Genomic DNA, 14,488 nt, shown 5'->3' with positions numbered 1-14,488 from the left:
GGAATAAAGCACATATTCTCCATTCATAATTTAAAAAAATCAATGTTCCCGAAGCTATTTAAGGGGATATTTCATCTACAATAGGAACACACATTCTGCTATCAAGAAAAGCTGCTTTTAAATGAAAGGCAAGAGCTGAATTACAAATATTATGGTGACAGTAAAAAGCAGATTGCACATTGCAGAAATGCCACAAACGAGAATGAGATCATTTGAAGAAATTCTCTTTAAACAAAGAATAATGAGATAAAAAAGATTTTGACAATGTTTAACTATCAAAATCACAAGAATCCAAGGAGAGATCCAGTTACCTACACTATACATAGTAGGCTCACAGTAATTGTTGAATGAATTGAAATAGAAAAAAAAATAAAGTTGGTATTAATATCTCCTCAAATATAAGAGCAATTGGAATGTTTTAGGGAAAAAGATAATGAAACAAGAATTCAATAGACTCACAAGAGATCATATGTGATAACAAAAAGATTCCCAGATATTTGGTAATACAGAAATTATAAACTTTTAAAACATTTACTCAAACAAATAATCCTGCTGACTAAAAAATTAACCAAATAAATTCAAGTCACAGAATAACCAAGATAAAATTATGAAATCAACAGCATTTCTGTCATATTAAGGAATAACACAGGAATTTAACTATTGTGACTTTAATTTGGTTTTGGCCAGGCTTTCACCTTTGTGGGTATTAAAATGAAAGAACAAAATGAGGCCTACAGACCACAAGACTACATAATTAGGAGTTACAAATCAAACTAAAATGATGCTAATTCAAATATGTTCTATCCCATAGCTTGACAAATATACCACTCCAAGTGAGTGAGGTCCCTGGTTTAGGGTGCTTTTTAACACAATGTTTTAGTTTATGAAAAGTGACTCACAGGGCATCCATAGTCTAGAACCTATTTTGCAGTCCCATCTACTTACCAGCCCTGGTAACAAAAAAATATATAAAATCATCGGTTTACACATAGTTTATAAGTTATCAAAATATCAAAGACAGTTGAGCTTATTTATACAGCTATCTTGGTATTCTATTGGTGAAATAAGATTTAAATGAGTAATAAAAATATATAGTTTATAAATTATGGATTTATTCTAAGAATTCATTCCCTTTATTTCAGTAAGTTACTAATTACATTAGGTTTAATACTTTAATTTGTATTCTATTGGCAGTAATACCAAATTAGACAACCTTCCTTGAGTCACCTTAGATCTTAGATTTTTTTTTTTTTTTCAACAATTTCAATTTGGAGAATTTCACTGCAACTGGAAGTGTCAAAAATCTTAAAACAATGTTTGGATTCAGAAATGTGAATTCTCCACATTATGTTAAAACATTGTAATGGATCACATATCACAAATTAGTATCAATACTAGAAAATACTTATTTTCATCATTGCAACTCATCACATTTTAATTGCAATTTTCACTATTTTTAAAGCAATAGCTGATGTAAAGAATCATATTAGTTTTCACATTATATCTAGATCTACACATACATAGAGTAATATGAATCGTTTAATATTGTAGTATCCCTCCAGCTGCCATCAGCAACTATAGCAAACATTGTGGTAATTCATAAGTACCTCCAGAACTGTGAATGAGAGAACATGAAGAGAAGAAGACAGATGCTCAGTGATTAGTGGTACTGATAAATAATTCATTACACAAAATGCAATTATATCTGTTATGACAGAAAAGATTTTAGTTAATGTGTCCTATGACCAAGAACTTACATTGTTCAAAGCCTCCTTTCACTCCAAAGCAGTGTCCATTCAATGTTAGTGGCATAATCCTCAAAACTTTTTATTGACTTTTGTTTCAAAGACATGAGGCAGGAGTTGGGGAGAAGCATCTCTCTGCTAATTGTGTTAGAAAAGTGGGCTGCTATAGTTTGGATGTGGTTTGTCCTCACCAAAATTCATGTTGAAATTCAAACCCCAATGTGGCAGTTTCGGGACGTGGGGCCTGGTGGGAGTTGTTTGAATCTCTCATGATTAGGTTAATGCCCTCCCAATATGGAGGGGATTTGACCTCCCAAATCGCATCTTGAATTTTAACTCCCACCATTCCAATGTGTCATGAGAGGAACGTGCTGGGAGGTGATTGAATTATGGGGACAGGTCTTTCCTGGCTGTTCTCATGATAGTGAATGAGTCTCATGAAATGTGATAGTTTTAAAAACAGGAGTTCACCTGCACAAGCTCTCTTTGCCCAATGCCATCTATGTAAGACGCGACTTGCTTCTCCTTGCCTTCTGCCATGATCGTGAGGCCTCCCCAGCCACGTGGAGCTGTAAGTCCTCTAAACCTCTTTTGCAAATTGCCCAGTCTCGGGTATGTCTATCAGCAGCATGAAAACAGACTAATACACCTCCCACAGGGTTAGTGAGTTCCCACCCTCACAGGAATAGACAAGTTCCCAAGAGTGGGTGTTAAAGAATTTGGCTTCTTTAGTTTCTTTTTAAAAAAATATGAGCTTTTTATTTGTTCACTTCTTGCATTTGAAGTACTCTTTGATGACATCCTTAGCCTAAGATTCTTTGCTATAAATTATTTATTACTACACAACTGCAACTAATCACTTTACAAGGTTTGCCCACTCTGTCAATTTTTCAGAGGTATAAGCATCTAGACATAGATGAATTTAGTGCCAAGCCCATCTTTGTGTACTTTCACCTAACTGTAATGAGCCTTGGTTTCCCTCTTGCTTGTATCACTGGGTGATCCCTGCACACGACCACTCCCTGCCATGAGTGGAAGCAGCTTAAGGACCTCACCAGAAGCTGAGCAGATGCCAGTGCCTCACATCTTGTATTTCACAACTTGTCAAACTGTAAGCTAAATAAACCTCGTTCCTTCATAAATTACGAGATAGGCCCAGGCTTCTGTTTTTCACAAATTATCCAGCTTTAGATATTCTGCAAAACAAAATGGGCTAAGACATGGACATTTAAGTTCACAGATTATACTAAATCAGCATTGAGTGTAGAATCTCAAGTGACATGGCAATCAAGCTCATCAGTAAATTTATTCTTATGGGTTCTTGAGATAGGTAGAGCCATATAAAGCATGAATCTTAAGGAGAGGGCTTCCTTGGCAATGGTAACCAGTATATCCAGACTTTAAAAATTTATTTACATTTTTCTAAGAAAAAATTCCCAACGTCTACACATGAATGTCTGCCTAGAAAATACAATTGTATTGATGAAAAGACCATAATTAATAACCTGCTTAGTTATATACATTTTGAATGGCACTACATAACAAAAATGCCATTCACAGAAGCAATAAAGACAAAACTTTTAAACATGTGTGAATAAAAAAAGTCATATGAACAAAACTAATAGAACACTTCTAAATGGTATAAAAGTACACCTGAATGGAGAGAGATGCCATATTTTTGAATAGTGTGCTGGACCACTCTATTTTTAACTTGGTTAAGCTAGAGTCATGTTCCCAGATTAGAATTGGCCAAGTGAGGTATTTGCATGGGATTTGGGAAGTGGAAGTGGATCAGCAGCTATTGCTCTTTGAAGCTGACAATGATTATTTGCAGTGATGGGCAGAGGTTTCAATGAGTTTCAGCTTGTCCTCCCCTTCTCTTCTGCTCCATGACCTGCTCTTTGACTGCTGATCCTACTAGCCAATATGAGTCCCAACCTATCAACCAGACACCTGGATATAGACCCACGTGACTGACAGGTAGTCCCAAAGAGAGCCACCATCAATTCTCCCCTCCCTGGACATGTTATTTTGCTCCTTTAATCAACAGGTAGAATTTGTTTCTCCTCCTTTTGGCATTGGGATAGACTTGTGACTTTATTTGACCAATAGAATGCAGTGAAGGTGATGCTTTGCAGCCCTGAGCCCAGGCTTTAAGAAACCCATGACTTCCACTTTTACACTTAGAAGCATGCTGCCATGCTTTAAGGAAGTCCAAGCTACCTAGCTGGACAGGAAGGCCCTGTGCATAAGACTTGAGGCATCTGCCTTTGTCAGTTCAGCCTTCTATCTATAACAAAACACCATAGACTTAATGACTTATAAATAGGAATCTATTTCATACAGTTCTTGGGGCTGGGAGTCAGATCAGGGTGCCAAAATGGTCAGGTTCTGGTGAGGGCCCTCTTCCAGGCTGCAGACTGCCATCTCTTTGTTGCATCCTCATATGGTAAAAAGAGAATGAGAAAGTTTGTTGAGGTACCTTTATAAGAGCACTAATCCCATTCATGAGTGCTCCACCTTATTAGCTTCTGAAGGCCCTACCTCCTAATATCATATTGGGGATTAGAATTTCAACTTATAAATTTGGGCGTCATACATTCAATCTTTGTGCTCATTGTTGCTAGGATGCAGTTAAAGTCTCCAAATATGTGAGGGAGGTCTTCTTGGACTTTCCAGCCCAGCTGCAGCAGAACTCCAAGTTAAATACAACCACATGAGCAACTATCTACACAACATGGAACACTGGGCCTGTTCATACATTGTATTGAATGAATAATTAGAACTGAAGAGGCTTCAGCCTTTTGAAAAGTTTCCCAAGGAATCTAGAACAATCTTGGCACTCATCTTAGGGAAAAAGTTAGGAGAAAATAATAAATACTGGATGATTTCAGATGTCTTAGCACTTTGCTCAGTAGCATAGAGCAAGAATCAGGGCAGGTAAAGTAAAATTTCTCTGCCTAGCACATAAATTTTGCTTTCAGAGTTGAGAAAACTCATTCCTTGGGGCAAACAGCTACATTCATAAATTATAGCTGAAAAAACCTTTGAGCTCAAACAGAAATACATTTATTTCACAGATGAAGGAACTGATGCCCAATGGGTCATGTGATTTGTGCAGGGCCATATGTTGGTGCCATAGCTATTCCCAAGACCCAAATTCCACTCTATCCCAGGGTACTTCCCTCCCTAATACTCTTTCCACACCAAACCCACTTAAGAATTAGCCTCTCCAGCTCCTGCAACTTTACGTTTATGAACTGAAAGCAACTCAAAGGAGGTAAAGCGCAGAGGCAGAGTGTGGTTCACATCTCCCAGAGCACTGTCCTCTCCACAGAACACACTCAAAAAGCAATGATCAAGAGAAGAAAGTGAAGTGCTTACTTGCCAACAGTTTTCTTCAGCTCTACTCAGCAAGGGCAATCTATTTACAAAAGTAATTTTGTTGACTAGATCAACATATTGACATGTTGAATCCGTTAACACACAATTATTGATTTCTACCTATGCTACTAAGTTGTATGACAAGATTCTTATTCTTTGAAATTAAAGACTTATTTTCCAGTATAACTGAGGGGATTTGTTTGCTTCCTTAATATGGTCATAAAATAGGAAGAATTTCTATTTGTCACCAAGAGAACAAAGTGTTTACTTATAAATAAAATGTTCCAAAGTGGACAGACTACACTTTGAATTGCCGTTTCATCTGCAGGAATGCTACTCCTGTTTCATGAAACCAGATTAAAGCCATGTTTATTTAAAGATGCCTGTTCACAAAAGGCAATGCCAGCATAAAATTAAAAAATTCAAAAGAGATCAGAATGTATTACTAACAAAAGGGTGCCCCAAGGTCATGGGTTTTTACAACACCCTAAACAAAATTCCCCCTGAAGCCTTTAGACCGGTGAAATTATGCACCATTTCAGAATATTTTCTTCTCTAAGTATGTATGCTGCTCATGTTTCTGGGAATTGTTCTGTCCTCAGCGTCACAGGGTCAAAGTATGGAGTCTCAGACATTTGCTAACCCTCCTTGGCATTCTCAGCAGTGAGCATCTATCTGTTTATCACCAGTGGCACCTGCACAATTCCACTAGAAAAACTATTCAGGACTATCCCATCAACTGCTGTCCACTAGATGTCTACAGCATCCTCAGTCATAGAGGCAACCAAACATTCTCATTCCTCAATTCGGCAGTCGGCCAGGCTATTCCAAGTTTCCACGTCCCAGCATGCCATGACCTGGACACTCTCTCAAGGCAGTAAATTAGGGCAATTGTAGGGCTTCACCTCATTTGTTTCTCATTTCTCAGAAATTAATGTCTTGTATCATCTGATGTCTTGAAAAAACATTTCATATTTTTCCAAGTTTATTTCAGGCATAACTATAAATCAAGTCTGTTACTTCACCTTAGCTAGAAGCAAAAGTCAGTTTTTTTTAAACTTAATACAAATATGATTCTGACTTTAAAAAGCAAGATATAGGATGTGATGGAGATAAGGAAAAAAGACTTGTGGTTCAGGGTACGTGAGGGGGAGAGGAGACTGGGAGTAGAAAAACAGGAAGGCATTGAACACTAACCTGGCTCTATCCCACAATTTTTTCTAGGCATAGCCTGGAAAAGAGTTCAAGAACTTCAGGGTTATGTCAAGGCTTATATTTATGATTCAGCATTTACAGTAATAAAGTTATTTCTTTCTAAGACTACTCAGCTTATGCTACACAAAGAAACTTACATCAAGCCACCTTGTTTGTGACTGGTGCTCTGTCAACTGTCTCTAGATCTGCACTTGCAGATAGCGGTTCCCTGCAAGGCATCCACACTTTAATGTGGAGACAAGGCCATCAGCTCCCAGAAAAGATGAGATTTACAGGCACCTCATGTTCTGCATCCTGACTCCCACCATCTCCTCCCAACAACCTCCCTCAGGTCACAGAGCATAGAGTTACTGACCAAAATCAATCCTGGAAAGATGACTGTCACTCTATCCTCCACGGACTCATACCCCATTCTCTTGGAGAATTAAGTAGGTATGGTATGAGTTAAGATGAACCTATATATTCCAAAAGTAGATTTTTCCCAGTGCAGTGAGCAGAGGGAACATTTGAGGACACTTTTTAATTAGTTGAGTGCAATCTTTAAATAAGAAACAGTGTTACACACCCTGTGATGTTTTCTTTGTGAAGATACTAGGACCTTGGCTTTAAATGCATTGTAAGGCTAGATGAAAAACCTTTGGTAAAATAATGGACACTGATTAGTTCCAATGAGATGGGAATCTTCCACTGGCCTGTGGTTAAAATGAACTAGTCCTTATTTCTTTACTTGAATAAGAACTAGATTTCTGTCAACTGAATGTTAATCCATGCAAATCTCAGATGTTATTTGAATGAATAGGAAACTGTTTGCATGGCTGCAATTCAGACAACCTGTTTCTTGGACTTACATGCATGAGAGCCAGGCTGTAGTGTGGCAGGTGTGGATACACCAGATGACACACTGAGTCAGACCATGCTCAGGTGATAGGTCCGATGATGTCAGTCATTGAGAGGGAAGAAGAAATACTAAATATATATGTTCTCCTTAAAGCAGTCTTAATCACTTAGAAGAGAAAAAAAGATCATGCCAAAGAATTCGGTTAATAGAGAATCTGCGGGAAACAGCATAATATAACGAGGTCTAACCTGCTCTTCAACTAAGGAGTACAGCAGCACTTACCATACCATTTCTGTATGAAGTAGCTTGATGTGTGGCCTTTTATGTAAGGGTGAGAGCTACTTCCAAACCTTCTATACAACTGAATCCAAGTGCATATCCAGAAATAAAATGTACAAGCACCAGTAACTCTTCTCATCTTTAGCCATGCTGAACTGCAGTCTCTGAAACTCTACCTATAGGTTTTAGCTTAGGAATTACCAAGACAAGTATAACCAGGGCATAAAGTGCTAAAAGAATATCCATCATTGTAAATGTAGTTTGCTGCCAAAAGTATGGTACATGATCAGCATAAACCTTTAGCTTTATTTGCCCTCCAGGTAGCACACTCTCCAAATCCTTGCTGGGTTAGCCCAGGCTAGAAGATTTGGCTCAATTTCCTGCTTTGTATTCTAGTCAACTATTAGGGCTGTCCTGTTTAATAATTGTGAACTGTTTAATAATTAACTATTTGAAGCTGCTCATTTAGAGAGAGATGGAGCCCTCTCTCCTCCACTCTCAGCTGCAGTCTGTAGTCTGATTAGGAATATGATCTAGAGAATTTGTCACACGTCTAGCTATGCATGTCAGCACCGCCTACCTTGTCCTGCCACTATTTTCCATCTTCCCGAATAGACCACCATGCAGCCCGAGTGTATGCTGGGCATTCGACCACCAACTTTGCTGGGGTGATCAGACCCAACACCAGGTCGTCGGGGTGACGAAGTCCAGCGGAGTCAAAGGATTGAGCGGGGTGAGGGGGGAAAAGGTGGTACGCCAGGGGGCCATCACTATTGTATGGAGGCTGCGAAGGCCCCGAGCTCTGGGAGCCCATGGTATTTATTGGTAATGCAACGAAGAAACAGGTGGTGAGAACGTGGAGGTCAAAAGGGCACATTGCGTTAAGCACATGATTTACAGCTGTGATGGCTTAGCATTTATAAGGAACATGTTCTGCTACTTGAGATAATGGTAACAGGAGCCTAGGAAGGCTAGAAACAAGGAGCCAGTAAGTCTAGACACATTCCAAAGACATTATGCAAGCCCTGCCTCAGTTTCCCTCCCAACACTCAGCTTTTTCCCCCAACATGCCTTTTTTTGTAAGGGGGAAGGTATCATTATTACATTACTAGCAATTGTTAGCAAGGCGATTGCAGGCTGTGTAGTCCTTAATTGCCGGTGACCCAGCTTTTTTCTTTTAACCCTTATTCAAACTGGAGTCACTCTGGTTTGAATGCTTCCCACATACCTCCCCCACTTTGCCTTTTACAAGGGGACCCTCAATCCTAGGGGTTGCAGGAGGATGAAGGTCCGTCTTCTGTAACTTCTTCAAATGCTGAATAGGGGCAATGATACTCCTGCCTAACTATTAGGGTCTCTTGTATTCATGGTAGAGAGGAGTCAGAAAGCATTGGTCCATTAAGCATTGTGACTCTGGTCAGTCCTTGTTCCATCTTCGCATTCAGATTCAACTGTCTCATGGCTCATGCTGGGGGAGAACCCGGTCCATGGTTGGGATCCATGGGTTCCCCCCCGCCCCAGTCTCCCCAATTCTATGGTCGTACACATCTTGAGGTCATCCACACGGTTCGTTCATCTCCTGGCAAAAGCATACCCTCAATCTCCACGTTAGTAAATCTACTGAAATAGAAGCAAAAACTTTTGTGGTTGTAGCCAGGCGGCCACTGATGAGACAGGCCTTTTGTGATTAACTGAAGGCATAGAGAGAGCAAATCGAGGCTTTTCAAACCTTCAAATTCGCACTGTACAGGTGGGTCCACTAGATGCTGTGGCTGATGATAGATCTTCAGATGTTTGGTGGGCACCCACACAGGCACCTGAGGCAAGCAAATCCTCTTCCCCATAAAATTATCTTTAGGCAGGGATCAGAGGAAGCAGACTCAGAGGTAAGGAGAATTTTGGGGTCTAAAGGCTTCCTGATGTTTGATAGGTGTTCCCTCGGAAGTTATGAATTCCCCTTCTCTCCATATTGCTGCAAGGGCATGGAGGACTAGGTAAGCATACTTAGAGTCTGCATGTATATTTACCCTTTTTCCTTCTCCTAATTCTAGTGTATAATGGCCCCTGCTTTTGCTAGGATGTCTCTAACAAAGGAGCGAGGTTTTCAGGCATAATTAGAAAGGCACGTGAGGAGAGTAAAGTTCCCCAGTCACAACTTAGTGGCTGGAAGATCTAGTGACTGCCTGTCCTAGGACCCCTCAGATAGTGACAGATCTGGAGGACAGTTGTCCGGGACAGGAGAGTAAGACTGAGAAGACCGTGCTAGTGTCCAGGAAACAGTTAACCTCCTGGACCTCAATGGTCAAGCATACCCAGGGCTCTGTGGCATGGGCTGGCGCTTACCCTGGGCACCCTCAGTCCTGCTGCTGGGTCATCTGGTTAGTGGCTTCTGACTCACAGGTCCTTTGTCCCCCTGGGGCAGAGGGCCTTCCAGCGATTCCCTTGACATAAGGTGCGCAGAAATAAGGGGCACTGGTGGCTTATTTCTATTCGGACAGTCTTTTTGAAAATGTCCTTGCAGACTGCACTGGAAGCAAGCCCTACTAAAGGCATTCAATTTGCCCAGCCTTTCCCTTTTCCAGAGCCTCCAAAGTCCGCTTGCCTGAGGGTCATGACTAAAACGGTGGCTTTTTCTTATCCCATTTGTCCCATTCTGCCTGGTCCTCCTGATCTCTATTATAAAAAACCGAGGTTTCCGAGTTCAATAGGGTTTCTAAGTTTTGCTCCGGGCCCTAAGGCGGACTTTTGAAGTTTTTTCTAATGTCTGCAGCTGACTGAGTGATAAACTTATCCTTAAAGATTAGTTGGCCTTCAACATAGTCAGGTGACAGAGGTATGCTTCCTCAATGCCTCCCCTTGTCTCTCCAGAAAGGCAGGATTTTCTTCCTTTCCTTGCATTATAATGGACATCATTGAATAATTCATAGACTTTTTCCTCTTAGTTTTCCTTAGTCCTTCCTAGCCCGCAAAAGTTAGCAAGTGTCTACAAGCACCAATCTCCATGTTCTGATTTTGCATCCCAATGAGGGTCTACAGTAGGAACTGCCTGCTGGCCTGTGGGGAATTGTTCTTTCCTCTGTTGTCATCCTATCGTTGACCTGAGATACCAGAGATCGCAAGACTCTCGGGGCTGCAGTTACAGTGGCACTTCTCTCATTTGGGGTTAGTGTCTGATCTAGCAGTAACATTAAATCTCTCTCCATGTCAAAGGATTATCCTAACCCTTATAAAACATCAATATAGCCATCAGGGTTATCTGAGAATTTACCTAGGTCTATTTTGTTTGAAAGTCTGAGAGGGAAAAAGGTACTACACTCTGACTGGGCCGATTCTCCAGGATACACTTAGGGGCATTTTTGCCTTGTGGGGAACATTTCCCATCTGAAAAAACAGGGATGCCAGCACCCCTAAGTCGTTTTCCAATGAGCATTAGTCCTAGAGCATTCCCTACGGTCCTAATGCTTATTCCTTTCCAGGGTGCGTAACCACCCATAGACCTCTGCTTATCAGATTAGTTACTCTTACCAATGTAGCAGTCCGGCACCTGTTTTCCCACCTTTCTTGACCACAAAGAAATGGGTCCAGGCTGCTAGATTCTAGTGGTCCTTTACCAGCATGCCCAACATTGCCTTTGCGCTCACAGGTGAGTCCTAGAGCTGGGCTGGGTTCCTGAGTATTTCATACCCACCCAGCTGCCCCATCAAGATTCACTCCCATGAACAGTTCTTAAGCAAATTCATTTCAGAGGGTGTAGGTAACCTTTTGAGTCAGGATTGAAAGTTTTTTGATTCTGAGTGCAAACAGCTCGCAGGTTTGAGCAGACGAATTAGGCAATTTTCTTAACTCTGCTTCTATATATAGTCTCCCTATCAATTACTGAATATACCCATTGTGTTTTCACCCCCTCCCCCGTCACCCAGGAGGAACCATCTATTGTTCTGTCCTGAAGGGAGTTCCTCCTAGGGGTCTGATCGGGCCTTTGTATGGTAATTAAAATTTAAATCCCTCATTACAAAACCTGCTGGGTTAAGGGAATTTTCAGTGGTTAATGTTAAATCTTTTTTCCTAACAGAATAGCCCTATACTTTTAGATTTGAGTTAGTAAGCTACCTTTTTGTTTGACTTAGGATAGCTCTGAACTGGTGAGGTGTGCTCACAATGAGGTTTCCACTAAACGTTTTTCTACTTTCTTCTGTTAGCAAAGCAGTTGCTGCTACCAATGGAATGCATTTGGGCCATCCGCGGATTACTGGGTTAAGAATTTTTGATAGGAAGGCTACTGGTTGTCCGTGGTCTCAGTGCTTTCGGCCTTGTTTACACTGATAAGGTAGTACTGGAGTGTTACAGGGCCACGGAGACCTTCAGTTATAGGTTTTTAAATTTACCCTGGCTTTTAAAGAAAAAAAAGTGTACCCTATTCCTTTAACTGCTTGTGTATCTTTCTCCTTTGTAGATGGATTTTGGAAACACAGTGGAAGGACGTTTGCTATCCTCCCTGCTGGATTATAGTTACGGGAAATTGCATGCTTCGAGGTGTCCCTCAGCTGTAGCCTTTTGAGTAGAATTTTGTATAGCACCAATTGTTCCAGGTTTTAATTTTGCAACTATAGGAGCAGTACGTTTTCTAGCTAATTCATCTCCTAGCCCATTATGGGGAGAGAGAGGTGGCCTTTCACTTAATTCAGCAGGTGGAGCCGACGGTCTAGTAAGACCTACTTTTTTCAGTTTCCCTTTCTTTTAGTTCTCTCCGTTTCCTGTTCCTCACATTAACAATCTAATTTTTTACACTTATCCTCCTCTTCCTCATCTGAGCCTACCTCATCATGTTTGAAATGGCTCAAGAGCTGCCTTTGTTAGTGTCCACATTGACCAAACAAACTGGAATTTCTGCTCCCTCTTCATACGCCTTTTTAAAGTCTCTTCCAATTCTCTCCCATTCACCCAATTCCATAGTCCCTTGTTTTGGAAACCATGGGCAAAACTTTTACTGTAGGAAAGAGTAATAAGTTCTGAGTACTAACTTTCACTTCCCCTCTTCGTAATAAATGCCTTAAGAAATTTAAGCAGAATATCTGCTTTTCCTTTGTCCCATTGTTACCCTGCTTCTTCCAAGTGCTCAGCTTTCCCGCTGAGCTTCTTTTAGACATTCTCCGCTTTCACACGCTCATAGCATTCCTTCACCGGCGTCTTTGTCGCCCCACACTGGGCAGCCAGGAATGTTAAGGTGATCAGACCCAACAACAGATCGTGGGGGTGACAAAGTCCAGCGGACTCAAAGGATTAAGAAAAAGACAGAGAAAGAGAAAACAGTGAGAAAGAAAAAGGTGGGATGCTTGGGGTGGGGGGAATAGCTATCGTACGGAGGCTGCGAAGGCCCGTAGCGCTGGGAGCCCACGGTATTTATTGGTAACCCAACAAAGAAACAGGTGGTGAGAATGTGGAGGTCAAAAGGGCACACTGATTAAGCACATGATTTACAGCTGTGATGGTTTAGCATTTATAAGAAACATGTTCTGCTACTTGAGATAATGGGAATAGGAGCCTAGGAAGGCTAGAAACAAGGAGCCAGCAAGTCTAGAAACATTCCAAAGACATTATGCAAGCCCTGCCTCAGTTTCCCTCCCAACACTCAGCTTTTTCCCAACAAACTTCCCAGCTTAAAGGCAAACCATAGAGCAAATGGTCTTAAGGCAAAGTCTAAAAAGCTTTAGATTACCCATGAATAAGTTTCAAGCAATCCCTCAACCCCTAGTATTGATTTTATGTGTGGATAGTTTAGGTCATATGCAAATGCATTTTGATCAAAGTCTCTTAGGATCCATAGCCCCAAAAAAGTTTATGTTCCACCATCCAAAAGACAGATATATTTTTCCTGTTCTGATCCCTCCCAGTCTCTCTCCTCCCTACTATTAAGGGCCACTAAAATTGCAATAAGTATAATAAATGAGCTGGACAGAATTATAACAACTTCAGAGTAGGGTTCATAGGTCAACCACATCATTCAGAAATGTCCCCTTTACTTCAATTTCTTGTTCACATTTTCCACTGTGGTTAAGAAAAAATCAGCAACTGCTATTACTTAATGATGCAGTATTCTGAAGCAGCTCCTTAATGGATGTTTAATTGATTTTTCACTCAAACCATTTACTTTCAAATTGAACAGGATGTTGATGAAGGGTATCAGTTTCCAAGAATATTCTCTGCTGTAAATTTTATGCTTTGCTTTTCCTGCTATTTAATTTAAAGCTATCATAGTCTAAAAGGGGAAAAATGTCCAAACTTGATCCTACTTAACATGGAAGAATGTAAACAAATGCCAATTTGCTTTTTTTATTTGAACAGCCATTCTCATACTGGGTTTGTGATCTTCAGAAACTAAAGTTTTTCTATCAATTCATGACTCATGACTTGTCTCAGTTATTACTGATTTCTACTGGATATTATTCACAGGCACAACAAAAATCACACAATTTTTTTATTGCATTTTCACCTCAAATGTTAAAATAATTAATTTTCCCCAGATGTATTGAGATATAATTCATCAATAAAAATTGTGTGTTTATACATATATATGCAAAAGGTGTATAAACTGATGTTTTGATATAATATACACCGTGAAATGATTACCACAATCAAGCTAATTAACATATTCATCAACTTATATAGTTACCCTTTTAAATTGGCAAATAATTGTACAATTCATGAGGTACATGGTGATGTTTTGATACATACACTGATCAGATAAAGGTTATTGCACATTTGTCATCTCAAACATTTATCACTTCTTTGTGTTGGGAACATGCACCATCCTCCTTTAGCTATTTGAAACTATATATTATTGCTCACTATAGTCATCCTACAGTGGTATAGAACACCAGAATTTATTTCTCCTATCTATCTATAATTTGGTATCCTTTAACAAATTTCTACATAGTTACCTTTTCTGTGTATGTGAGGCCACATAAGACCTAGTTTCTTGGCAAATTTCAAGTACATATATAATGCATTATTATTTTTTTCTGCTCTA

The 14,488-nt window shown here is 40.1% G+C and overlaps 2 annotated features.

Moving 5' to 3' along the window:
- Window positions 12,345–13,131: an enhancer, noted in NCBI's record as "OCT4-NANOG hESC enhancer chr2:180921213-180921999 (GRCh37/hg19 assembly coordinates)". NCBI's record gives its function as "activates a minimal SCP1, AML or CMV promoter by ChIP-STARR-seq in naive and primed H9 embryonic stem cells {active_cell/tissue: H9 hESC(naive and primed)}" and the evidence as "EXISTENCE:reporter gene assay evidence [ECO:0000049][PMID:30033119]".
- Window positions 12,521–12,815: a silencer, noted in NCBI's record as "tiled region #8338; K562 Repressive non-DNase unmatched - State 24:Quies". NCBI's record gives its function as "represses a minimal TATA promoter and a strong SV40 promoter by Sharpr-MPRA in K562 cells {active_cell/tissue: K562}" and the evidence as "EXISTENCE:reporter gene assay evidence [ECO:0000049][PMID:27701403]".

Source organism: Homo sapiens, chromosome 2 (genome assembly GCF_000001405.40).
Source record: "Homo sapiens chromosome 2, GRCh38.p14 Primary Assembly".
Taxonomy (NCBI): Eukaryota; Metazoa; Chordata; class Mammalia; order Primates; family Hominidae; genus Homo; species Homo sapiens.
This window is presented reverse-complemented; position numbering and strand designations above follow the sequence as displayed.